Source organism: Homo sapiens, chromosome 12 (assembly GCF_000001405.40).
Source record: "Homo sapiens chromosome 12, GRCh38.p14 Primary Assembly".
Taxonomy (NCBI): domain Eukaryota; kingdom Metazoa; phylum Chordata; class Mammalia; order Primates; family Hominidae; genus Homo; species Homo sapiens.
The window spans coordinates 80,567,027-80,594,300 of NC_000012.12; the positions used below are offsets into that span (position 1 = coordinate 80,567,027).

The 27,274-nt window shown below is 35.7% G+C and overlaps 1 protein-coding gene and 1 long non-coding RNA gene across 2 annotated transcripts in view; one reads left to right on the forward strand and one right to left on the reverse strand.

Annotated features, from left to right (window-relative positions):
• PTPRQ (protein tyrosine phosphatase receptor type Q) overlaps positions 1 to 27,274 on the forward strand; it is a 236,039-nt gene that overhangs the window by 122,792 nt on the left and 85,973 nt on the right. The window contains exon 26 of the mRNA NM_001145026.2: positions 21,103 to 21,426. Coding sequence (NP_001138498.1) covers positions 21,103 to 21,426 — 324 coding nt within the window. The remainder of the gene's footprint in view (positions 1 to 21,102; positions 21,427 to 27,274) is intronic.
• The window catches only part of LOC105369867 (uncharacterized), a 176,665-nt gene that overhangs the window by 36,453 nt on the left and 112,938 nt on the right, over positions 1 to 27,274 (reverse strand). The window contains exon 2 of the long non-coding RNA XR_007063388.1: positions 13,272 to 13,383. This is a non-coding gene — a long non-coding RNA (uncharacterized LOC105369867). The remainder of the gene's footprint in view (positions 1 to 13,271; positions 13,384 to 27,274) is intronic.

Below are 27,274 nucleotides of genomic sequence, written 5' to 3' on the forward strand. Positions count from 1 at the left end.
TGCACCTTAAAAGCTAAATAGGATGCCATACTCAGAAGCACTATTAGGAACTTTGACTGCAGATTAAACAGGTACCAAACAATAGTTGAAAGTAGTTGGTGACATACTTGGGCTAATCATTGCTAAGGCTTCCTTTCTAATATGGATGTATGAGAAATATAGTAAAGCCCATGATTGTTTTTCTATTAAAAATCTACATTTACAAAATATTATCTAGAAAGTATGAGTGTCTAGTACTTTTAATTTCTATATACATGCATAACCTGTGACTTGTTTTGAGTATTATTTGTACATTTTTATGGGAAAGCTTTTTTCATGCTTTTAATATTTTCTACTTATGGGAAATGTATATGCAGTGACATGTACAGAACTTGTGTACAATTCAATGAGTTTTGACAAGGGCATACACCCATGGAACCACCATTCATCCACCATATAGAGCATTTCCATCCCCCATAGAAAGTTCCCTTTTACACCCATTCTTGAAGGCAACTGCTGCCCTGATTTCAATCAACATAGATTAGTTTCACTTGTTCTTAAGCTGTCTGTGTTCTCTTATGCTAGGTGGCCTGTTTCAACATAACTGTTGCTACAGTTTTTTTAATTTGTTCTGTTAGTGTTGAGTCATTTTCCATCACATGAATATACTATTATTAGTGTGTCTGTTTTCTTTTGATGGACATATGGATTGTTTCTATTAGGAATGAAACTGCTCTAGATGTTTTTGTACAAATCTTTTTTCTGTAATTACAGGGTCATAGAGTAGGTATATATTTAATTGTTCAAGAAACTGATGGTTTTCTAAAGTAGTTGCACTGTATGAAATACATACCCAACAGCACCGAATGAGAGTTCTAATTACATTTCATTCTCAGCAGAATTTGGTGTTATAATATTAGCCCTGCGAGGTGACATAAAAAGTATATATTTTATTGTAACTTTAATTCACATTTTTCTGATGATTCATTATGTTGGATACTTTCATATGATTATTGGCCATTCATATACAGGCAGTCTTTGCTTTACATAGTAGTATAGGACTAAAAAATGATTATAGAAACTGAATTTGTGCAAAGTAATCCTAATAATCAATGTAGAAAATTATGATTGTTCTGTGACCTTCAAAAATTTTGTTACAATATTCAAAACTTCAAGTGTCAATTATAAATGTATGTGAAAACAAAAAATTATTTAGTATACTAATTTAAAACATTAGAAACATAGAGATTTTTTTGTATAAAAACTTATCAAGAATTTTTTTTCTCATTGTTCAGCTTATGTTACAGAGAGGGCCTCTTTTCTATGTTTCAGTTAATTGTTATACACTTTCAAAGTTTAGATCAGTTTTCAATATTTTATCCTTTGCACTTTCAATATTGTCAAATATCAGCAAGAGTTCTCTTGGTGTGAAATTTTTGTTTTGCTGTTTTTTACTTCCTTCAAGACATCATCCTTCATTGAATTCATCAGAACCACTTGCTTTAATTTCTGTCCATATTTGTCTTCAGTAAGTTGTCTTGGCTGCATATGTAAAGTTTCTTGAACAGCAGTGTTAACATTCCCATGGTCAGCTCTTTGTTCTGAAACTCCGTTTATGTTATATTCAAATTTCATTTCCAGCACTCTCACTTTTGTTGCTCTGCTACCATCTTTGTTAGCCAATATGTGTCACACGAGTTCATTGCTGTGAGACAAGGAGGCAACATAACTACACAATTTTCTCCCTGTGCATAAACTGAAGAACAAATGCACAATGACCAATCAATGACAGATTTTGAACAAAGTGATGTCACTGATTATAATGTGCATCTGTTATTTATGTAATGATTTTATGGATGAAAGAGCTAGAAGCAAAGTTTTCATATTATAAAATTTTTCATACCCAATATATGATAGTAACAAATTCAAACTCTGTTTTGAGAAGACAGGTGTTACTTAACTAAACCATAGTAACAAAAATTCAAGCACATTGGAATGTGCAAAGGACTGACTTATCTCCTTTAGGGAAGTTTCTGTTCAAGTCATTACTGCATTTTTCTCCTGAATTGTCTGTCTTTTTAGTACTGAGTTATAGGAGTTCTTTATACATTTTGGATACAATTCTTTTTTTTTTTTTTTTTTTTACTTTTTAAAAAATTTGTGTTCTCATTGTTCAATTCCCACCTATGAGTGAGAATATGCGGTGTTTGGTTTTTTGTTCTTGCGATAGTTTACTGAGAATGATGATTTCCAATTTCATCCATGTCCCTACAAAGGACGTGAACTCATCATTTTTTATGGCTGCATAGTATTCCATGGTGTATATGTGCCCATTTTCTTAATCCAGTCTATCATTGTTGGACATTTGGGTTGGGGACTGTTGTGGGGTGGGGGGAGGGGGGAGGGATAGCATTGGGAGATATACCTAATGCTAGATGACGAGTTAGTGGGTGCAGCACACCAGCATGGCACATGTATACATATGTAACTAACCTGCACATTGTGCACATGTACCCTAAAACTTACAGTATAATAATAATAAATTAAAAACAAAACAAAACAAAAAGAACAAAACAAAAAAAATTTGATTTTTTTTTTTTAATTTAAGTTCTGGGATACATGCACAGAACATGCAGGTTTCTTACATAGGTATATGCAAGCCATGGTGGTTTGCTGCCGCCATCAAACCGTCATCTATATTAGGTACTCCTCCTAATGCTATCCATCCCCTAGCCCCCCACCCCCGACAGGCCCCAGTGTGTGATATTCCCCTCCTTGTGTCCATGTGTTCTTATTGTTCAGCTCCCACTTATGAGAACACACGATATTTGGTTTTCTGTTCCTGTGTTAGTTTGCTGAGAATGATGGTTTCCAGCTTCATCCATGTCCCTGCAAAGGACATGAACTCATTCTTTTTTATGGCTGCGTAGTATTCCATGGTGTATATGTGCCACATTTTCTTTATCCAGTCTATCATTGATGTGCATTTGGGTTGGTTCCAAGTCTTTGCTATTGTGAATAGTGCTGCACTAAACATACATGTGCATGTGTCTTTATAGTAGAGTGATTTATAATCCTTTGGGTATATACCCAGTAATGGGATTGCTGGGTCAAATGGTATTTCTAGTTCTAGATCCTTGAGGAATCACCACACTGTCTTCCACAATGGTTGAACTAATTTACACTCCTACGAACAGTATAAAAGTGTTCCTGTTTCTCCACATCCTCTCCAGCATCTGTTGTTTCCTGACTTTTTAATAATTGCCATTCTAACTGGCTTGAGATGGTATCTCATTGTAGTTTGATTTGCATTTCTGTAATGACCAGTGATGATGAGCTTTCTTTCATATTTTTGTTGGCTCCATAAATGTCTTCTTTTGATAAATGTCTGTTCATATCCTTTGCCCACATTTTGATGGGGTTGTTTGTTTTTTTTCTTGTAAATTTGTTTAAGTTCCTTATAGATTCTGGGTGCTAGCTTTTTGTCAGGTGGATAGATTGCAAAAATTTTCTCCCATTCTATAGTTTGCCTGTTCACTCTGATGATACTTTCTTTTGCTGTGCAGAAGCTCTTTAGTTTAATTGTATCCCATTTGTCAATTTTGGCTTCTGTTGCCATTGCTTTTGGTGTTTTAGTCATGAAGTCTTTGCCCATGCCTATGTCCTGAATGGTATTGTGTAAGGTTTTCTTCTAGGGTTTTTAGGGTTTTAGGTTTTACATTTAAGTCTTTAATCCATCTTGAGTTAATTTTTGTATAAGGTGTAAGGAAGGGGTCCAGTTTCAGTTTTCTGCATATGGCTAGCCAGTTTTCCCAACACCATTTATTAAATAGGGAATCATTTCCCCATTGCTTGTTTCTGTCATTTTTGTCAAAGATCAGATGGTTTTAGATGTGTGGCTTTATTTCTGAGGCCTCTGTTCTGTTCCATTGGTCTATATATCTGTTTGGTACCAGTACCATGCTGTTTTGGTTACTGTAGCCTTGTAATATAGTTTGAAGCCAGGTACCATGATGCCTCCAGCTTTGTTCTTTTTGCTAAGGATTGTCTTTGCTATGTGCTCTTTTTTGGTTCCATATGAAATTTAAAGTGGTTTTTTTCTAATTCTGTGAAGAAAGTCAATGGTAGCTTCAAGGGGGATAGCACTGAATCTATAAATTATGGAGTCTCACTCTGTCACCCAGGCTGGGGTGCAATGGCATGATCTTGGCTCACTGCAACCTCTGCCTCCCGGGTTCAAGTGATTCTCCTGCCTCAGCCTCCTGAGTAGCTGGGATTACAGGCATGTGCCACCTGGCTAATTTTTATATTTTTAGTAGAGACAGGGTTTCACCCTGTTGGTCAGGCTGGTCTCGAACTGCTGACCTCATGATCTACCAGCCTTGGACTCCCAAAGTACCTGGATTACAGGTGTGAGCCACCACACCCAGCCTACAATTCTTTATTAGAGATATGTATAACAAATATTATGTTCCAGTCAATAGCTTGACTTTCTGTTTTCTTAATGGCACCTGTGCATAATCAGACGAGTTTAATTTTGATGAAATCTAAATTAGCAACTTTTAATCTCATGTCAGTACATTTTGTGTCCTAATTAAATATTGTGAAAATAATATCCTGGGTTTTATTCTAGAAATGTTATAGTTTTAACTTATACATTTATATTTTTGATTCATCTTGAATTTTGGGTGTGTAGTATGAGAAGTGATTCAAAGTTTTTTTTTGTACATTTATCAAAACATTTAATAACTATTTTAAAGATACTTTTATTTATAATAAATAAACATAGGTCATAATAAATTGATATAGGTCAATCACTTGACCCTATGTGCTTGAATTTATTTCTGGAATATATTTTATTCCATTGATTTATTTATCTGTTATTGTAATAAAACCACACTGTGTTGATAACTGTAGCTTTATTATAAGTCTTGAAATCAGTTTGTGTAAGTTCTACAAATGTGTTCTTTTTTCAAAATTCTTCTGGCTATTTTTGGTCTTTGCATGTCCATATAAACTTTTAAATTATAATGATCTTATTAATTTTTACAAAAATGCCCATGGCATTTTCATTGGGATTGCATCAGATCTATATACATGCATGTATACATCTATACATGGGGAGAATTGACATCTCAGCAATGAGTTACTAATGAATATGTTATTATTTCTCCATTTTTAAAATTATTTATTTCAGTAATGTTTTGTGGTTTTAAGTAAATGGATTTTGCATATCTTTTGTTAAAATTATTTGCATGTATTTAATTTTTTAATGTTATTCTAAATAGAATTGATTTTAGTCATTAGTTTGATGCAAAATACAGAAACACAATCAATTTTTATATTGACATTGTATCCTATGACATTGTTAAATTTACTTCTTAGTTCTGGAATGTTAAAAAAATTTAAATAATATTCTATATTAAAATTATTGTGTCTTCTAAAATTAAAAGTATTTTTCTCTCTTTCTTTCTTTCTTAACTCCATGACTTTATTGTTTGTTTGTTTTGCCTTATAGCACTGGCTTGACTCTCCAGTACAGTGTTAAACAGAGGTGATAAAAGCCAATATCCTTGTGTTGTTCCCAATTTCAGGGAGAAGGATTAGTTTTTCATCATTTTATATGATATTGGCTGTAGACTTTCTGTAGATACCCCTTATTAAATTGAAGAAGATTCTTTCATTTATAGTTTGCTATGAGTATTTATTGTGAATGGATGTTAAATTTTGCCACTTGATTCTGAATTTAAGGCAATAATTTGCTTTTTCTCTTTTATTCTCTTGCTGTGATAAGTTACATGGTTTATTTTTGAATGTTAAATTATATTTACATTCCTGGGATAAAACACACTTGATCAGATGTGTTATTCTACTATATATTGCTGGATTTGATTTAGTAACATTTTGCTTAAGATTGTTGTATTTTTGTTCAGGATAGGTATTGGTCTATAATTTTCTTTTATTATAACATTTTTTCTCAGATATTTACATCAAAGTTATACTACCCTAATATCAGTAGTTGGGGAATGTTCTTTCCTCCTTTATTTTCACAGTTATTATTTCATCCTAAACTATTTGATAGAATTCACTAGTGAAACCATCTGAACCTGGAGTTTTCTATTGTGGCAGATTTTGTATTACTTTGACTTCTTTAATAAATATAGAACTACTCATACTTTCTTTTTAAAAAATTTTACTTTAGGGCCGGGCGCGGTGGCTCACGCCTGTAATCCCAGCTCTTTGGGAGGCCAAGGCAGGCGGATCACGAGGTCAGTAGATCGAGACCTTCCTGGCTAACACAGTGAAACCCCGTCTCTACTAAAAATAGAAAAAATTAGCCGGGCATGGTGGCGGGCGCCTGTGGTCCCAGCTACTCGGGAGGCTGAGGCAGGAGAATGGCGTGAACCCGGGAGGTGGAGCTTGCAGTGAGCCGAGATCATGCCACTGCACTCCAGCCTGGGCCACAGAGTGAGACTCCGTCTTAAAAAAAAAAAAAATTATTTTAAGTTCTGGGATACATGTACAGAATGTGCAGGTTTGTTACACAGGTATACATGTGCCATGGTGGTTTGCTGTACCTATTAACCCATCAGAATTTCTATATCATTTTATATGTTATGTTTCCAAGAAACTTGACCATTTTATTTAAAATGTTGAAAATATTGGCTCAAGGTTTTTTGTAATCTGCAGTGATATTCCTGATTTTATTCATGATGTGAATTGTGTTTACTTTCTTTTTATACATCTTAATAAGTGTTTATGAAATTTATAAATTTTTCCAAATAACCAACTTTTATATTAATTAATGTTCTCTATTGTTTTTGTGCTTTCCATTACATCGATTTCTGATCATTATGATTTTCTTGCTTCTAAATATTTTGCCATAAGGTTCTATGTATTAGTTCCATGTGGTTAATAGTGTTTTGCAAAATGTCTGTATCATTATCACTTTTCCGCCTAATCGTTCTAACAGTTATTGAGAAGGAAATGATAAAATATTTAACTACGATTGTGGGTTTTTTTCTTTCAGTTCTGTCCAGGTTTGCTTCATGTAGTTTCAGTTAAAAAAAAAGTTTTTACCAAAAACATGCGTATTGTGATTGTTATATTTTCCTAATTAACTGATCCTTTGATCATTATAAACTATCCCTTTTATCTTTGGGGACACTTCTTGTATTAAGGCTTTTTTGTCTGTTATTAATATAACACATGTTCTTTTATTCGTGGTTTGCATCATATATCTTTTTCTATTCTTACTTGTGAATTATTTGTATTGTATTTAAACTGTGGCTGGTGGACAACAAAGTACGTCTCTTGTGAACAACCTATAATCAGGTCTTTAATCTTGTCTGACAACCTCTGACTTTTAAATGGAGTATTTACTTCATTTAGATTTAAACTTAGTATTAATTTACTTGACTTTGGATGTACTATTTTTTCTTTGTTTTCTATATGTCCTATCTCATTTTTAGTTCCTCTGTTCTTGCTTTCTTTCTTGCCTTCTACTGGGTTAACTATATATTTTTAGCATTATATTTTAATTCTTCTATTTGACTTTTAGCTATGTTTCTTTGTATTATTATTTTTCGTGGCTTCTCAAGGGACTGCAATATGAATACTTGACTTATATCTACTTAATTTATGTAACTGGAAATAAAATACATGAATTTTGCAGAAGTATTCCCATGTACTTCCCTGTAGTTTCTGCTGTTATTGTTATATTTTTTGTACTTACTTTTATAGATGTCAGGTTGTTATACGTGTCAGCTATATATATTAATATACGTGTGTATGTGTGCATGCACACTCGGTTTTTCAGCTGTCTTTCTACTGAGCTCCTTGGATTCTCCGTCATGTACATATAATTAAAATATTAGGCAAGGATTTAAGGGGAGTTTAGTCCCAAACTTTGGATCTAACTCCTCTGTTTCCAACTACTTTAGCAGCCTCATACTTTATTCTCTGACACCTCAAGCCAATAGCTGCGTTTTTTTTCCTTTTCCAAGTTCATACATGTTATCTGCAGAATAGTTTGATATAAGTTATCACCAGATCAGAGTTCCTCAAGTTGGAATATTTTGTTTTAAATTCTTAGCTGCTTTTGCAAAATTTTTGCCCAAAATATGAATCTGAGCTCCTTTCAAGGTTTTTATTAAAATATCTAGTCACACTGAACACTTTAGTGTATAATAGCCTTAATGTCACTTGGTGATGGGTAGATAGAAGAGGAGTTTACATTGCAATAATATATATGGCTTTAAATTGATTATTAGACATTTTTGTTCTAAAAATCTTTTGATCCAAGTGTGGTGGCTCACACCTGTAATCACAGAGCTTTGGAAGGCTGAGGTGGGAGGATCTTTTGAGCCTAGGAGTTTGAGAACAGCCTTGGCAATGTAGCGAGATCCCGTTAGTACAAAAAAAAAAATTAGCCTAGAGTGGTGGTGTGTGCCTGTAGTTCCACCTACTCAGGAGGCTGAGGTGGAGGATTGCTTAAGCCCAGATGTTTAAGGTTACACTGAGCTATGAAGGTACCACTGCACTCCAGCCTGGGCAACAAAATGGCACCCTCATCCCTGTAATCCCAGCACTTTGGGAGGCCAGGGTGGGCAGATCTCCAGGTCAGGATTTCGAGACCAGCCTGGCCAACATGGTGAAACCCTGTCTCTACTAAAAATACAAAATTAGTCAGGTGTGGTGGCACATGCCTGTAATCCCAGCTGCTCAGGAGGGTGAGGTGGGACAATTGGTTGAAATCAGGAGGCAGAGGTTGCAGTGAGCCAAGATCATGCCATTGCACTCCAGCCTGGGCAACAAGAGCGAAACCCCATCTCAAAAAAAAAAAAAAAAAAGAAAAAAGAAAAAGAAAAAGAAAAGAAAATCTTTTGGCAATCAGAGAGTTTTCTGTTGGTTGCTTTATACCACTGAGGCCCATGTCCCCAACCTCACACCATCCTTTGAGCCTTTGTTCTCATTGTTTCTCCTTCCATCTCTTCCTTCTCTCTCGCTTTCTCATATGGGCTCCTGAACAATCCCAATTCTTTCTTTATTCTTTCTTATGGATATTTTCCCAAAGCTTACAGTCAGAACTCCTTGTGTATATTTTAATCAATAAAGTTTTTCTTTACAGCCACAGGTTTTTTTTTCTTTTTGAGACGGAGTCTTGCTCTGTTGCCTAGGCTGGGGAGTGCAGTGGCACAATCTCGGCTCACTGCAACCTCCACCTACTGGGTTCAAGAGATTCTCCTGCCTCAGCCTCCTGAGTAGCTGGGACTATAGGCACGTGCCATCACACCCAGCTAATTTTTATATTTTTAGTAAAGATGGGGTTTCACCATGTTGGCTAGGCTAGTCTCAAATTCCTGACCTCAGGTGATCTTCCTGCCCTGCCTCCCAAAGTGTTGGGATTATAGGCGTGAGCCCCCATGCCTGGCGAGCCAGTTTTTAGAAGAAAAAAAAAAAGATATTTTAAATAACATTCAATTATATTCAACATTTGGTGGAACTTGTATTTTTGAAATCTGTCCATCCATCCATTCATCTATCCGTCTGTTGATTTGTTCACTGATTCACATTTTTGCTAAGCAAGTACTTATTAAATATCAATGTGTGCCAGGCATTATATGCTTATCTGTTTCTTCTGACCTTTTTTTTTTTCCTATTCTACTTCACTGTACATTAACTATTGATATAGACTCAATTCTTCATCTCTGGTGTTTTGATAATATGAGTACTCCTTTCAAATGTTCATTTACTCTCATGATTTCAATTACTTATAGATACAGGAATTCTCCCAAATTCCTTTACGTGACCCATTATGCTAACACAAACCTCTCCTGTGATAACTCTGTTTATCCTGCTAACAAGATATGAAGCTAACATTTTATTTCCTCATACTCATTCTTGGGTAAATCTCCACAAGCCAGTATGTCTTTCTAATTTCTTCGTCACTCTCAATGGTTCAATTTAGTCTCCAGGTGTTATAGGAGTGGTCTCAATAGATAATTAAGTTGGCTTTCTAATTAGTCTTCTAAGAACTGTTTCAGATAAACTATGTAAAATCAAAGTTGTCATTTTTGATAAATATTCTCATGAGATGACTTACTGCATGCAGCTGTCAAAACTAATGAATTTATAAATCAAGCCAGCTCATTTTGCCTTTGTATTAGTCTGTTCTCACACTGCTATGAAGAAATAGCTAAGACTGGGCAATTTATAATGGAAAGAAGTTTAAGTGACTCACAGTTCAGCATGACTGGGGAGGCCTCAGGAAACTTACAGTCATGGCAAAAAGGGAACCAAACACCTCCTTCTTCACATGGCAGCAGCAAGGAAAAGTATGAGTGCCCATTGAAGGGGCGAGCCCCTTATAAAACTATCAGATCTTGTGAGACCTAACTCACTATCATGAGAACAGGATGGGGGAAACCACACCCATGATTCAATTATCTCTTCCTGGTCCCTCCCATGACATATGGGGATTATGGGAACTACAATTCAAGATGAGATTTGGGTGGGGACACAGCCAAACCATATTGGCCTCCAAACAGAATATGTATAACTATATGTATAACTAGCTTTCCTTGTAACGATCCCTAAAAAATGACTTTTTCTTTGGAAGTTTTATTGAGAAATTTTTTAAAGGTAAGTGTTTCACAGTATGTAATTTTAAGACTAAAATTATAGCCATGGTTTATATTTGGGGCCCCAATTGTCCAACTATACATGCATGGGAACAGATACAAAACAATTTTAAAATATCTTACTCCTATTTCATGCACATTGAATACATTTATAAGACTAATTTGGCACATTAGTATGAATGGGTCAGTCCATATTCTCAGCTTTGTAGTAGCACTCAAAATCCTGTTTGTGTTTCATAACTTGATAAATACTCCAAAATTTCTCTGGATTAAGCCAGGCTACCAGAGAGAGTTGCACATGAACGGTATACTTACAATCTCTGAAGACATAGTTTTAATAAAACATATTTGAGAATTATTCCACCTACGTACTCAGAGTGACGTTGTAAGAATGGGAAATTTTTTTTTTTGGATTTTTTTAATTTTTATTTTTTATTATACTTTAAGTTTTAGGGTACATGTGCACAACGTGCAGGTTTGTTACATATGTATACATGTGCCATGTTGGTGTGCTGCACCCATTAACTTGTCATTTAGCATTAGGTATATCTCCTAATGCTATCCCTCCCCCCTCCCCCCACCCCACAACAGGCCCCGGTGTGTGACGTTCCGCTTCCTGTGTCCATGTGTTCTCATTGTTCAGTTCCCACCTATGAGTGAGAACATGGGGTGTTTGGTTTTTAAAATAAATTTTTTTTCCCATCCCAAAAAATCAGAATGGGAAAAAATTTTTATTTTTATTTATTTATTTATTTTTTATGAGATGGAGTCTCACTCTGTCGCCCGGGCTGGAGTGCAGTGGCGCGATCTGGGCTCACTGCAAGCTCCGCCTCCCGGGTTCATGCCATTCTCCTGCCTCAGCCTCCTGAGTAGCTGGGGCTGCAGGCGCCTGCCACTACGCCCGGCTAATTTTTTGTTGTATTTTTAGTAGAGACGAGGTTCCACCGTGTTAGCCAGGATGGTCTGGATCTCGTGACCTCGTGATCCGCCCGCCTTGGCCTCCCAAAGTGCTGGGATTACAGGCCTGAGCCACCGCACCCGGCCAAGAATGGGAAAAATTAAACATACTTAGTATTTACTGTGTATGGATGTTGTCGAGGACATTGCTTATTAAATTATGGTACCCTCTTTATGGGTTTTTTCAGAAGAAATGTATCTTTGGTTTCAGTATCAGAGATTATTGTATTTTTGTTCATTTAATTTATCTTTATTTGCGATAACAAAGATTTACTATCTTGCTTTTCCCTTTATTTTATTTATTTGTTATAAAGAGCCAAATTTATAATTTACTTCTAGGAAGTCTACAGTGTGTATTTTGTCAGTTAATCTAATTCCTGGGTTCATTCCATTTGTTTTACCCCTATTTTCTCTGTGCTCAATATACCATCACATCCTGTCAATATTTCTTTACATTTTTCTTTAGCTCTACTCCTAATTATTTTTAACCTACCAGATCATTGTAATCTATGTTGTGCTTTATATGTAAAATATCGAACAAGTTTTTATCAAACTTGCCTATTCCTAATAACAAGTGATATGAAGGCTCAGACTTTTAAGTTTATATGTCACTAATTAATCTCTGTCTGTTGTTTCTCTGTCACCTACTGTAGTCACCTAAACTGCTTTCAAACTTTCACTGCCTTTCAATAACACCAAACCTGATAATCCCCCACACTTTTTTCTTATGACTGCCTTACACTATTTTCCTTCAGCCTAAGATTTTTCCCAGCCCTTGACAAACATTTTGTTGCCACTTATGTATCTCTCCCCGTACTCAACCCACTGAATCCTTTTTCTTTCACATCTTTACTAATCCTCAGTTGTTCCTTCAAATTAGAGCTCCCAGATCTTCTTCTCTGTCCTGTTGCATTTACCTCTTTGTAGTTATTTCTATTAACTAAAATATTTTTCATCTATGTATGAAAAGGTTCTTATACATTGACTTGTATCCTGCCCACATCATTCAATGTGAATGTTCAATAAATGCTATTGATTAAATTCAAGCTAGTGCAAAATTTGTAGCTGGTATGCTGAAATATGCTTTGAACTTAACTTTGAAGGTATTTCCATTTTTGTATTGATCCATACTATATTAATGTTAGCAAATTTTACTTTGTGTATGTTTAAATTATCTATCTGTATGTTGTGTTTCTAAAAGGATAGTAGATTATTTAAAATTTCTAGAGACAAAAATATTCTTAAACTTGGGAAGATTGGGTTGATAATTTTGTATGTTTTATAAATATAATTCACAAATATAACTTTTCAGACATCTGTTTTGCTTAAAAGAGAGTACATCTGTTCCTGAAAAATAAAAATATATAGTCATAAATAAACAATTTAAACTTGGTCATCCAACTTAGTGTACTTATCCAGGTCAATGAGAAGTCAATACAAAACTACCTTCACAATCCTATCAGGAGAGTTTGGCAATTTCTAATAACTGATATTCAGAAGTTTATAGAATAATTACATTTTATACATGTATTCATCTTCTAAGTAGAATTTACTGGTCAGTAAAAACTCTCATGCATTTAAACCTATAACAAATTCTTGCTTATTTAGATCTACAGACCCTAATTTCAACCATGATGAAAGTATTTTAGTGATAAGAATAATTTATGAATAAAAATGTAATTTAGTGAATACCTTGGCAGTTAATGTTGATCGCTTCATCACAGTTCAGTCATGTTTAGAAAATCTAAGCAAGCTGTGTGATTACTCCAGGAAGCATGGAATGATGTGTTCAAATTAGTACCATCTGTGGATAGAAAAAGTTTGAGGTTTTTAGTCATTCTTAAAGAATGGAAATCTGATTCTCCATGCTGAAATGAGTGTAATCCTTTTTCTATCTGTAATTCAATAGGGCAGTTGCCTTGAAATAGTCTAGTTCAGCACACAGTTCATCAAAGAGAAGATACTGGATATAAATGAGGGTTACTGCTGGTCACTTATGAATACTTCTGAGGTAGCCTTGTTTAAAAAATTGTCTACAAGTTATACCATATATTTCACCTCAGATCAGATTCATTTTTGGTTTATCTTTCTAAATACATTTGAGTGAAAATGTGGACTAGATTTTGTACCACATGAAAACAAAAGGCTGTTTCAATGAACCATCATTTATTTCCACAGTCAACAAACACTTATGAGTGCCAGTATGTTCCAGTGTCCCATCACTGTGCCTGTCACATAATAGGAGGCTGAAATTGTCATTATGTTTCCTATAGCCAGGTTACAAATAACTCTTGCCTGGATTTAGTGGTTTTTCTTTTTAAGACCTTTTCTTCTCTGAAAGCTTAATTGGAGAATACTAGAGTCTGTGAACGAATATTGATCTGCTGAAAATTTTTACTGTGTAGCAAAATTTGCTAGTAACAAACACCAGCTATCCTAAAATCTGAACATTGGAGGAAAAAATAGTTGATCATAGAGGCATGGGCATCTAGTCATCCCTCCAGATGGGATTAGCAAAGGGCAGCCTCTTCTGCCTTCTCTAGTTCATTAGCTAGTGAATATTTCCCTCTCATTTCCAGTGGTTTAGCAAACTCTAGGGAGAGAAAATTGAAACATGGGAAAGGTAACTGGTAGTAGATCTAAAAAAGAATAAATAAAAGAAGGAAAGCATTTGTACACTGATTCTTATGAGGAAAGAGTAGAGTGTAAGATTTTAATGAAAACAAAAGTCAATATAAAAATTTTCAAGGCCAGGTGCCATGGCGCATGCTTGTGATCCTAGCACTTTGGGAGGCTGAGGTGGGCAGATCAGTTGAGCCCAGGAGTTCAAGACCAGCCTGGGTAACATGGCGCAACTCCATCTCTACAAAAAGTACGAAATTAGTTGGGTGTGATGGCACACGCCTGTGATTCCAGCTACCCGAGAGACTGGGTTGGGAGGGTCATATGAGCCTGGGAGGTTGAGGCTGCAATGAGCCATGATTGTGCCACTGCATTCCAGCCTCAGCAACAGAGTAAGACTCTGTCTCAAGAAAAAAAAAGTAAAAATTTCCACATAATAAAAACGATCATCAGCAAAATAAAAAGACAAATAACAGATTTGGAAAATATATCTTCATCAAGGATCACAAAAAGGTTATATTAAAGGCTTAAATAAATAAATAGCAAAGCCATACACCCAATAGAAAAAAAAGTAGAAAAAATACAAATGATAGTTTATGAAAAAGGAAATTAAAGAGAGAGAAGTGCAATAAGCTTCACACTGAAACAGAATTTTTTCCCTCTGAAACTTTTATTGCATACTCTGTTGGCTTGGGGAACAGGCATTCTCATGCATGTTGACAGGAGTAGGTATTGGTAAAACCTTTCTGGAGTGTGATTTAGCAATGTCTACCAATGCTACAAATATGCATATGTTTTACCTAGCAACGATTATCCTACAGATTTACTCACACATATGTGTGGAATATGAAAGCATAGGCTTGTACATTACAGCTTGTTTACTGCAAATATTGGACACAGCTTAATATCATTTCATAGAGGCTGGTAAAATCAAATTCGATATATCCATTTCAATGTGCTTACTCCATACAACTCCAAACACTGAAGAAAAAGGCAAAATATATCCAAAGCATATATATAGTGACCCTAAATCCCAGTTTCCAGGGCAGTCTGGGTTTATGCTTGCTGTGCTGGCATTTCATCCAATAGACATTGCCTTTTACTCTCAAAAGTGACCTGTCTGTATAACAAATAATTTGCTGCAATGGAGTGAATGTTTATTTCCCCCCTAGAATCATATGTTGTAGTCCTAACTCCCTGTGTGATGCTATTAGAAGGTGAGGCCTTTCAGAGGTAATTAGGTCATTAGGGTAGAACCCTCATGAATGGGATTAATGCCCTTATAAAAAGAATGCAGAGAGCTCTTTTGCCCTCTTTCTGCTATACAAGGACACAATAAGAAGCCAGCAGTCTGGAACCAGGAGGCTGGTTCTCACCAGAAACCTGCCATGCTGGCACCCTCATCTGACTTTCAGTTCCAGAACGTTGAGAAATAAATTTCTGTTGTTTGTAAATCACTCAGTCTATAGTAACTTGCTACAGCAGCCAAACTAAGACAGTCACTCTAGATATATTCTTTGGAAGTGAGAGAAGGGACTGGGAGGAAGAAGAGAGTCGGATATGAGGTTAGATGAAAAGAAAGGGAAGGCTGCACTCCAGCCTGTGCAACAGAGTGAGACCTTGTCAAAACAAAACAAAAACAAAAACAAAAACAAAACAAAAAAAACTTTTCAAGTATATCACTGTGCTTCAGATAAAGCTAAAAGTCATATATTTGGTTTAAGGACTCAGTTTAATGTGATTCCACTTACATTGCCTACTTCGCCCCTTCCCATTCATCTCCTTGTAGACCCAGCAGCCTTCATTAAGTGTTTTCAATGTGTGACACTCTTCTTCTTCAGGGTCTTAACACCTTCACACATCCTGATATTTTTTATCTGTGAAGCTTCTTCTTATCCTTCAGGTCTCTAATTAAATTATCCTTCACCAGGAAAGCCAAATAAAGTCCCCTGTTATACCCTCGATTCATTTGCTCACACATTCAAAAAACATTTATTGAATCACCATTTTGTTTCATTCAGTAGTCTAGACTCTGAGAGAGAAAATCTGTTATGTACATTGACATTTTATGTGTTTATAACCTACAAATAAACATCTATTTTTGAGTGATTTTTTTCAATATTTTTATTGAGATGGATGCGGAAGCAAAATCTTTTTGAATCTTTTATATATAATGTTGGGGTGATGTGGAGGTGAAAGTAGATTAGGCCTCTTTGGAGTGGGTTTTCAGTGCAGAGCTGAGATTTATAGGAAAGTAAATATCAGTTCAAAATAATGCAGGCTATACAAACTAATAGAGCTATCTGAAAATGAATTTTAAAATAAACTACCCTTGAGATGTTGAGTTTCCCTTGCTCTATGTATGTAAGCAGAGGCTGGGTAAGTAGTGATTGCTCATTTTGTAGGGGGAGGTTTGTATTGGTCTTCTATTGCTGTGTAACAAATTATCACAAACTTAGTGGCTTAAAACAATACCCATTTATTAGCTCATAGTTCTATAGGTCAGAAGTCCAGGCGTGTTGTGCCTAGGTTTTCTACTTATTCTCACAAGCTGAAGTCAACTTGTCAGTCAACATTTTCTTGTGTAACTCAGGGTCCTCTTTCAGGTTCACGTGGTTGTGGTAGAATTTAGTTCCTTGCAGTCACAGGATTGAGAGCCCCTTCCCTGGCTGGCTTTTAGCTAAGGGCTTCTCTCAGCTCCCAAAGATGTTCTGTGTTCCTTATCATGCAGCTCCCTCCTTCTTGAGAGCCAACAATAGAGAAATTTTTGTACGTTGAATCCATCTCTTTAAAGCTTTGACTTCCTTTTCTGAAAACGGCCAAAAATACTATCCTCCTTTTAGAGGGCTCAGGTTATAAGGTCAGGTCCACTGGATAGCTCTCTATTTTAAAGTAAACTGATTAAGATTCTTAGTTACAGCAGCAACATAGCTTTCCATCTGTACCTAGATCAGTGTTTGGTTGAGTAAGTGGAAGAATCTGTTTTTGTACAGGGACCGGGAATCTTGAGGGATATCTGCAGACACAAAGGTCAGACAAAGAGACAAGATGACCAAGATGATCTCTCAATTTCAAATTCTGAGATTACGTGATTTTTCTCATTTATTTGCCTGTTCTTATGGATTCAGTCGCCAAAATATATCTTAAAAACTGACTTCTGTACTGTTGCTATCACCTAATTTCGTCTTTCCTGGACAAATCAAGTAGTCTCTGAATTTCTCCCTTTTCCTGTTTTGCAATTACCAGACTGTAGTTGATAAAATGTACCTCTGGACATACTGTGACATTTTTTATAGCTTTCAATTGCCTGACAAGCTATCTATAGTTTCCTCTGACACAGTAAGTCCCCAAGCTATTGTGCAGTCTTGCTGTTTGTTATTGCCGACATGAATTACAAGCTGCAATTAAACTTGTCTTAGCTCACATCACCCTCTCTTCCATGATCTCCACTTTTACAATCAGTGAAATTCCATCTCATGTGCCATCTCTTCTCTAAAAACATTTTCTGAACACCCACGTCAATCAAATACATCTGATTTATATTAGAATATTTTGAAAATGTATCTTATGTTCAGATGATCTGAGTTCAAATTTAGTGACTGAGGCATTTGAAAAAATTATGAAAATTCTAAAACTTCTTCCTCTATAAATTTACATTTTTTTTCCCTAAAGATAGTGTTTTCTCTAATTGCTTTTCTTCATGATAGGTAAAGATAAAACAGAATGTGTTGTAAATAGTGTGCCAGTTTTGGTAAATATATATATATATATAGTAAATAAGCAATAGATCTGTAAATAATTCGATAAAAATTTAAGATGAAATCCAAAATTTTAACTGAAGTCCAGACCTCTCTCTACAGAATCCAGACTCAAGCTTCTATCTAGTATTTGATTTCTCCTTCTGGGTGTCTGAGAGGAATTTCAAAGTTAACCTACTCAAAAGAAATTGTTAATCTTCCTCCCCAAAGCTTACCCCTCTTACGGTCACCCACATCTTGATTAATAGTGACTTCATCTTTTTATTTGCTCAATCCATAAACCTTAGGGCATTTTTTATTCCTCTCTTTCTCTGATATTTCACATACCACACATCAGCAAACCCTGCCAGCTCTCCTTCACATTATATTCAGGAGCTGAATGTTTCTCTTCACTTCTGCCACTACCACCTTGGACCAGGCCACTGTGATCTCTTGTGTTGACATTGCAGTTGCCTGCTAATTACTCTCCAGCCTTGTTACCCTTTAGTCTGTTCTCAACACAGTAGCTAGAGTGATTCTGTGAAAGAGAGAGCCTGCCACTTCTCTGCTCAAATGAAAGCCATGACAATGTCCTCTAGTGTCATGTACTGGTAGCTTGTACCAGTCACTCAGTCCTTCTTGTTATTCTCCAAATATACCAGGCATGCCTCCAACTATACAGTTTCCTCTGCTTCAAATTTCTCTTTCTGAAATATTGACATGGCTAGGTCCCCTACCTACATATGGAATTTAGTATCTTCTTTTTCTTTTTTTTTTTATTATTATACTTTAAGTTTTAGGGTACATGTGCACATTGTGCAGGTTAGTTACATATGTATACATGTGCCATGCTGGTGCGCTGCACCCACTAACTCGTCATCTAGCATTAGGTATATCTCCCAATGCTATCCCTCCCCCCTCCCCCCACCCCACAACAGTCCCCAGAGTGTGATGTTCCCCTTCCTGTGTCCATGTGATCTCATTGTTCAATTCCCACCTATGAGTGAGAATATGTGGTGTTTGGTTTTTTTGTTCTTGCGATAGTTTACTGAGAATGATGATTTCCAATTTCACCCATGTCCCTACAAAGGACATGAACTCATCATTTTTTATGGATGCATAGTATTCCATGGTGTATATGTGCCACATTTTCTTAATCCAGTCTATCATTGTTGGACATTTGGGTTGGTTCCAAGTCTTTGCTATCGTGAATAATGCCGCAATAAACACACAAGAAAAAAACAAACAACCCCATCAAAAAGTGGGCGAAGGACATGAACAGACACTTCTCAAAAGAAGACATTTATGCAGCCAAAAGACACATGAAAAAATGCTCATCATCACTGGCCATCAGAGAAATGCAAATCAAAACCACAATGAGATACCATCTCACACCAGTTAGAATGGCAATCATTAAAAAGTCAGGAAACAACAGGTGCTGGAGAGGATGTGGAGAAATAGGAACACTTTTACACTGTTGGTGGGACTGTAAACTAGTTCAACCATTGTGGAAGTCAGTGTGGCGATTCCTCAGGGATCTAGAACTGGAAATACCATTTGACCCAGCCATCCCATTACTGGGTATATACCCAAAGGACTATAAATCATGCTGCTATAAAGGAATTTAGTATCTTCTAATCCCTTCTCTGATTACCTAATTTAAATTTTCAATATCCCTGAAACTCTCCTTCTTCTCATTCTTCTTTTTCTCCGCAACTCTGATCATCATCCAAAACACTACAGTTGGCCCTCCAAATCCATGTGTTCTGCATCCGTGGATTCAATCAACTACAGCTGGAAAATATACAAAACCAAAATGTGTCTGTACCCCACATGCCCAGACTTTTATTTCTTGGCATTAATCTCTAAACAGTACAACAGCTATTTATAGAGCATTTACATTGTGTTAGGTATTGTAAATAACCTAGAGATTATTTGAATTATATGAGAAGATGTGTGTAGTTTATATGCAGATACTACACCATTTTATATAAGGAATTTGAACGTCTTCTGATTTTGTTCTCCGTGGAAGGTCTGGGAGCCAGTACCCTGTGGATACAAAAGGTGACTATGTACAATACTTATTGATACTTTTATTGTTTACAGCTCCCCTGAATGTAAATTTTCAGGGGCAGGAATTTTTGTCTGTTTTGTTCATTGTATTTTCAGCACCTATAATCCTACCTGTACATATTAGATGCTCTTAGATATTTATTGAATGTTGAATTAATATATCTTTAGAGATCAATGAGCTTTCTAAATATTTATTAATTTTCTTATTTTAAAATGTGAATATTAATATACAGTTCGCATTATGTAATTTTCACATGTCATCATTTTGATTCTCTTTATCTCCATCTTCTTAACAAAGGCCGTTGAAGATATACAAAGAAAGGCATGGTTAAGAAGAGTTCCAATATCACTTAATTGATTGCTCTTTCTTATTTCTAACCATAACATGTGTATATTACTTGCCCAATAAACTGTCTCTTGAAAACAGGACATGAGCTTTATTGTATCCTGAATCCCTAACACCAGGCTCAGAGCCTGACACATGGTATGCATTTGGCAAACCTGTAGTTAGTGTGGAAGCAAATAAATGACTCCAAGCAGGACTACATGTTAATTCTAAATATACATGAGATAAAATAAAAAAAAATAGATGAATTATATACATTAAAACTGTCAGTAATATTGTTTATTTAAAATTGTTTTATAATCAACATTTACTAGATATAAGATGTGTTTGTGTTTATTTAGACATTTAAATACACAAGTATCTTCCCTTGGAACTGAATATTACAAACTCAAACCATACCTAGGGAAGTACTTAGGATGATATGAGCATACAGTTTTCCTTTGTAACAGTGAAATAGTTCTATTTGAAGCCAAAGTTTGTTTATATAAGCCACTTATGATTGAATTTGGAAGCAAAATCAAGAATTAATAAATTACAATTATTTTGTCCTCTACCCTTTTAAAATGATGGTCCCGGAAGCATCACTCTAAGGTTCTTCTCATTAAGTGTGGGGATAATTAATCTAAGAGCTATAGTAATTTGACAGATCTCTACTAGCTCCTCCATAATAGAATTCTATTCTTTCTTCTCTTTATGAAGTGTTTGGTAATTGTAACTGCTTTTAATTTTTCCCTTTAATTTTTAGTTCCCAGTGTTCCCACAAATATTGCTTTTTCTGATGTTCAGTCAACTAGTGCAACATTGACATGGATAAGACCTGACACTATCCTTGGCTACTTTCAAAATTACAAAATTACCACTCAACTTCGTGCTCAAAAATGCAAAGAATGGGAATCCGAAGAATGTGTTGAATATCAAAAAATTCAATACCTCTATGAAGCTCACTTAACTGAAGAGACAGTATATGGATTAAAGAAATTTAGATGGTATAGATTCCAAGTGGCTGCCAGCACCAATGCTGGCTATGGCAATGCTTCAAACTGGATTTCTACAAAAACTCTGCCTGGCCGTGAGTATTGTCCTGACATGTACATACTGATTTCTGTTATATTCTGTATCTGTCTATATATTATGCTTTATACTTAATCTAATTGTGTGTAAAATCACTGAACATAGAAATAACTGAGGACACTACCATATATAACGACATATTTAGTTTTAATTTAGTTGAAACCCAATGAGAAATTCAATGTTAGTCATTATTAGGGCTTTTCTCAAACTCCCAAAGTTGTGCCAAGGTCCTAGAGTCTCATATTGCAACAGTGCATTGTGGGAAGCTACTCTGATGCGCTACCATTAAACCATACTGATTATTATCTAATGCCCTTGACCCAGGCCCACATTTTTCCTTCATATTTAGAGGTTCTGTTGCTTTTAAGCCCAACTTTACAACCTTTTCAGTGACTTCAAACTTACACACACACACGTGTGACCACAATAACCCTGATTGATCTGTCTGCAAGTCGTTTTTCAGCTTGTGTTTTTCAACTGCACAAAATTCTGAGGCAAAGAAATATCAAGCATTCAACTCCCAGCTTGAGATGGGAAGAAGAAAATACAGAGAAGAAACACAAATACTTGAAATTGTTTTGCCATCTATACATCTTTCAGGACTTTAAGTGCTTTTCCATACAAACCACTAAATGTATAGGTAAAGATTGCTCTTGCAACTTAGGTTTTATGTTTATAGCTAACTGGTTGCCCTGCTTGCTTGGAGAATATCATTAACCATAATTAAGTAAAAAATGTATATTCCTTATCCTGAACTCTGTTTACATAGAATTGTGATGGTTACTATGCAACATAAATAAGTTGCAAATCAAGTCCTGCAAGCCAGAGCTCTGGGAAATGGCTGCATTCTCTGAAATGCCATTTCTGCCCCAGCCCTCCAGAGCAAATTTCAGGTTTGCCAGGCCACCCATCCCATATAAATCCTTCAGATATAGGCCTTATGTTATCATCTTCCTATCTTGACTGAGACTCTTTAAAGGGGATTCCTTTCAAATCCAAATTACATATTCTTAAACATTTTTGATACTTATTAGTATAGTAACATACCTACACACACACACATAGATTTTCAGTGACAAATACCATGTTAGTACTTATAGATAGTGAAATACACTTTGATCTAGAGGGCTTTATTTTCTAGGCCACCAATTGTGTCTCCTGTTACAATTTCCCAGAGTATCTGGCATAATGTCTGTAATAGTAAATGTTCAATAAATGTTTGTTAATATAATTTGACATTTGAGGTAGAATCCTGACAACTCAGACTTTGACACAATTGTCCAACCTTTTCTCTTTCTGGCACTTTGACACTTGGTTTCTGTAAGATCTACCCTTCTGTTTTTTCTCCTACCTTCCTGGTAGCTCCGTCTCCGTCCTCTTTGCTGAATTATTCTCAGCAAATAATTGTTTTTTAACTGTAAGCATTGGAGAGATGAGAGAGCTGTACTTGGCCCTTTTCTCTTCTTTATCAGCACACAACCCCAAGGAGATTTTACCTTAATTGCTCTTATTCTGGTCTATAGCTTTGAAGTCTGCTTACATCTTGACTATTCTCAAATACTATTTCCAGTCCTGAATGCTGCCTAGAACTCCAGATCAGAATATCTGCCTGATCAACTAATCACTGGGCTTGTGTGTTGAATATACTTCTCTATATTAACATGATCAAATACCAAACCTTCTCATATCATTATTTATCTGTTTGCAGCAAATGAAAATCCAGGCACTGTTCCTTTCCTCCTCAATCCTGCCCATGATTCATTTCAACCACACCATCTAAACAAATTCCTCCATTTGCATTACTATTACATTAGTACAACTCTTCATTACTGCTCCCACAGCACTAGCCTAACTAGCCTCCTACACTGCCAGACTGGTCTTTTTCAACCTAAAGCAGATGATGTCACTTTCTTGCTTAAAACTATCCAATGGGCTGGGCGCAGTGGTTCATGCCTGTAATCCCTGCACTTTGAGAGGCTGAGGCGGGTGGATCACGAGGTCAGGAGATCGAGACTATCCTGGCTAACATGGTGAAACCCCGTCTCTACTAAAAAATACAAAAAATTAGCCAGGCATGGTGGCAGGTGCCTGTAGTCCCAGCTACTCGGGAGGCTGAGGCAGGAGAATGGCATGAACCCGGAAGGCGGAGCTTGCAGTGAGCCGAAATCGCACCACTGCACTCCAGCCTGGGCACAGAGCAAGACTCCGTCTCAAAAAAAAAAAAAAAAAAAAAAAAACTATCCAATGTACTCCCATGGCTCTTAGAATAAATTTTACATTTCTTAACATGGTTAACAAGCCCTATATGACCTGGCTTTTACCTTAAACTTTAACATTATTTATAGCCATGTTTCCCCCATACCATTGTCTTCCACTCATACTAGACATTTTTTGTTGCTTACACAAAATAAATTCTTAGAACTTGCATCTTTGTATTCCCTGTTTCTTTTGACTAGAATGTTCTTCCACCTCCTTCTTCACATGAGCAGCTTCTTATAACGTAGATCTTTACTTAAATGATCCCTGATCAGAATGAATTTCCCTGACCACTCAATCTAAAAATAGTCATGCAGTAATCTTATATAATATCATGTTATTTTAATGAACATTTATAATTACACGATCATTTTTATTTGCTTGTGTTTAGGATCTGCCTTGATCATTGCTTTTTTTTTTTTTTTTTTTTTTTGCGACAGGATCTCATTCTTTCACCCAGGCTGGGGTGCTGGGGCACGGTCACAGCTTACTGCAGCCTCGACCTCCTGGGCTCAAGTAATCCTCCCACCTCAGCCTCCTAAGTAGCTAAGACTACAGGCACACGCCACTGTGACCAGCTAATTTTAAAAACAATTTTGATAGAGATGAGGTCTCACTATATTGCCCAAGCTGGTCTTAAACTCTTGGGCTCAAGTGATCCTCCTGCCGTGGCCTCCCACAGTGCTGAGATTTCAGGCATGAGCTACCATCCCACGCATATTTTCTTATTGTCTAGAATAGTTCCCAGTACCAGTAGATACTCTATAAATATTCCCTGAATGAGAGAAATTTGATTCATTAAGTTCTAGTGGGTAGGACAAAACAGATTGTTTTCCAGTGCAGGTGATGATAAGGATGACGATACTATAACAAAGATAGCAAAAATATAGAAAAAATTCAGTTTACTTTGGGGTTAGTCAGTAGGTATGGTTATTTTGAACCTGCTGATTTTGTCAAGAAATAGCTATTCTAATATAACTAGAAAACAGAAATAAATAAATGCCCAGAGAACAAAACCAAATACATCAGTAGCCTAGATCTGGCTTGTGGACAGCTGATTTGTAACCTTTGGTTAAATTATGCCTGTGCCTTTGTGCCTGCTGCCACTAAGAGTTCCTATTCTGAGTATCTCACTTGGGGAGTACCTGCTTCTAATTGCCACACTGAGCCAGGAAGTGAACTTTTTAAATGCACAGTCTCTTGCAAGCACACTTGACACTATTATACAAGATGTTTAATTAGCATAAAACAACATATAACATGATCAGTTCAGAAGTTGGTAAATGAAACTGAAAAGTTGGATTTCTAAATAATCCTACATTCTCAAGTCTTTCCACTTGAATATCATTCTTTCCACCCTATTTCCTCCACTTCTTACCCCCGTTTAAGTTCTATGGCCATATTTTATTTCCAGGAGACACAGGGGAAATGGTCTTTCTACCACTGTGATTAGGAGAGAAAGATGAAAAGATTTATATTTTTCAACTTCGTGATAACAAACATATGATTGCATTCTCAAAACTCATAGCTTTTCAACTAAGTAGTCATAAGTGGTTGAGGATAATTCTTTAAATTTTGACGATGAGTTGGTTACTCGTCTTTTAGTTTCAAGAATGGAGGAAATTTTTGCTTCCAATGGAATAGAAGACATTTTTCTAATGATAAATATTGTACAATTGAATTTCCAAATTTCATAATTTATACATCAAAATAAAAGTTCTATTTATTATATTAAGTCAGGAAGAGATAATTTGAGATTATATGGGGAACTGCATATATTATTGCAACATAATATATATGGTGAAATAACATAAGAATAAAAGAAATTATAACAGTTAAGTAACGGAAGTCTTGAAGAGCAATAATCCTTTTAATATTAAAAATAAGGCATTCATAGATGTTGCTTCTGCATACCAAAGATGAAAATATAATGGCCATGTTGCAAACTCAAAAAATAATTTGGATGAAGAATATTAATAAGTTTTGTATTATGTATAATTCACTTAAAAATGTGGCATGAGTCATGTGGTGGCTCATGCCTGTAATCCCAGCACTTTGGGAGGCTGATGCGGGCGGATCATTTGAGGTCAGGAATTTGAAATCAGCCTTTCCAACATGGTGAAACCCTGTCTCTTCTAAAAATACAAAAAATTATCCGAACATGGTGGTGGGCACCTGTAATCCCAACTCCTTGGGAGGCTGAGGGAGGAGAATTGCTTGGACCCGGGAGGTGGAGCTTGCAATGAGCCAAGATTGTGCCACTGCACTCTAGCCTGGGTTACAAAGCCAGACTCCATCTCAAAAATAAAATAAAAATGCAATATGTTGTTTCATGATATAAAATAAAATAATAACTCTTTCTCTGAATTAGAGAAAAGACTAAACAACAATATAAAATAGTACAAAATAACTATCTCAGAGAACTGCATTTTATCCTAATGACATAAAGTTGTACTCAAGCACTTACTAATATAACATCTTGTCAAAACCTGGATCTTCTCTATAAAGAGTTATTGATTAATGGGTAGTTTGAAATCAAATTGTTTAAAATTTGAGTAACTCCAATAAAAGACCACCTAGTTTTAATAATAAATATTATAAAAGTTTCTACAATGGATTATATAATCAGAAAACATGTTATCATTAACTATCTGAGCCCATAACAAAGAGCATCAAAATTGAAGATCAGGAAGAAAAGTCAGAATGCAAGCTGAGATTTAAATTGGATTACCCTGTGAATCTGAGTGTACACCTGTAAAACAGAATAAATAAGGGAAACAATATTCAACCAACTCAAGCTAACCATTCTTTCTCTCACATGCTCTCACCTAGATCATTGAAGCCAAATTGCTTTTGTTCTCAACTAATCCGTATAATAGCCATAATCCTACTGCATGCTGAGAGTGTATAGATACAAATATAAGCATAAAAATTTTAAAAAATGGCAGAAATATTTACCTTGAAACATTACAGTCATGCAAATTATTTTACTCATCTATTTTTCTGATTATCCTTAAAGTCAAAAGCAGTTTGAGTGGTGTGTGTATATATGTGGTGGTGATGTAAAGTCACAAGCTGTTAAATGTTTCTGTGGTGCACAATAGATACTTATGCTGAGGAAATGTACAACTTTAAAGGAGTGTGGGTGTGAAATTAGTATGAAATGGAATGGGACTCTCATAATGTGCGTCTCCTATAGACCACCAAGACTGGAAGACAGCAAGAAAGGAAAATTCCTGGGGTAACACTTAGGTTGGGAAAACCACAGGATACCATACTCATGAGGAATTTTAACTACCCAAACATCTGTTAGGTTAAAAAAAATTCAACAAAACATGCCTCATCAAAGAAGTTTCTAAGGAATGCAACTTTATGATCTAAAAAGAAGAAAACCAAATAGAGGGCAAAGTACACTTTAACATTATTTAAAATTAAAAATTGTCAATGTGTTACTAAATATCAGTTGTTTTCCTTAGTTTTTTCTAAACTGTGTAATACACTTATGTGATAAGTGTTATAGTAACAGAGGTAGAAATTATCCTTTTTATAAAGAAGCAATTATATAATGGTAAGAAGTGATTTTAGCCATA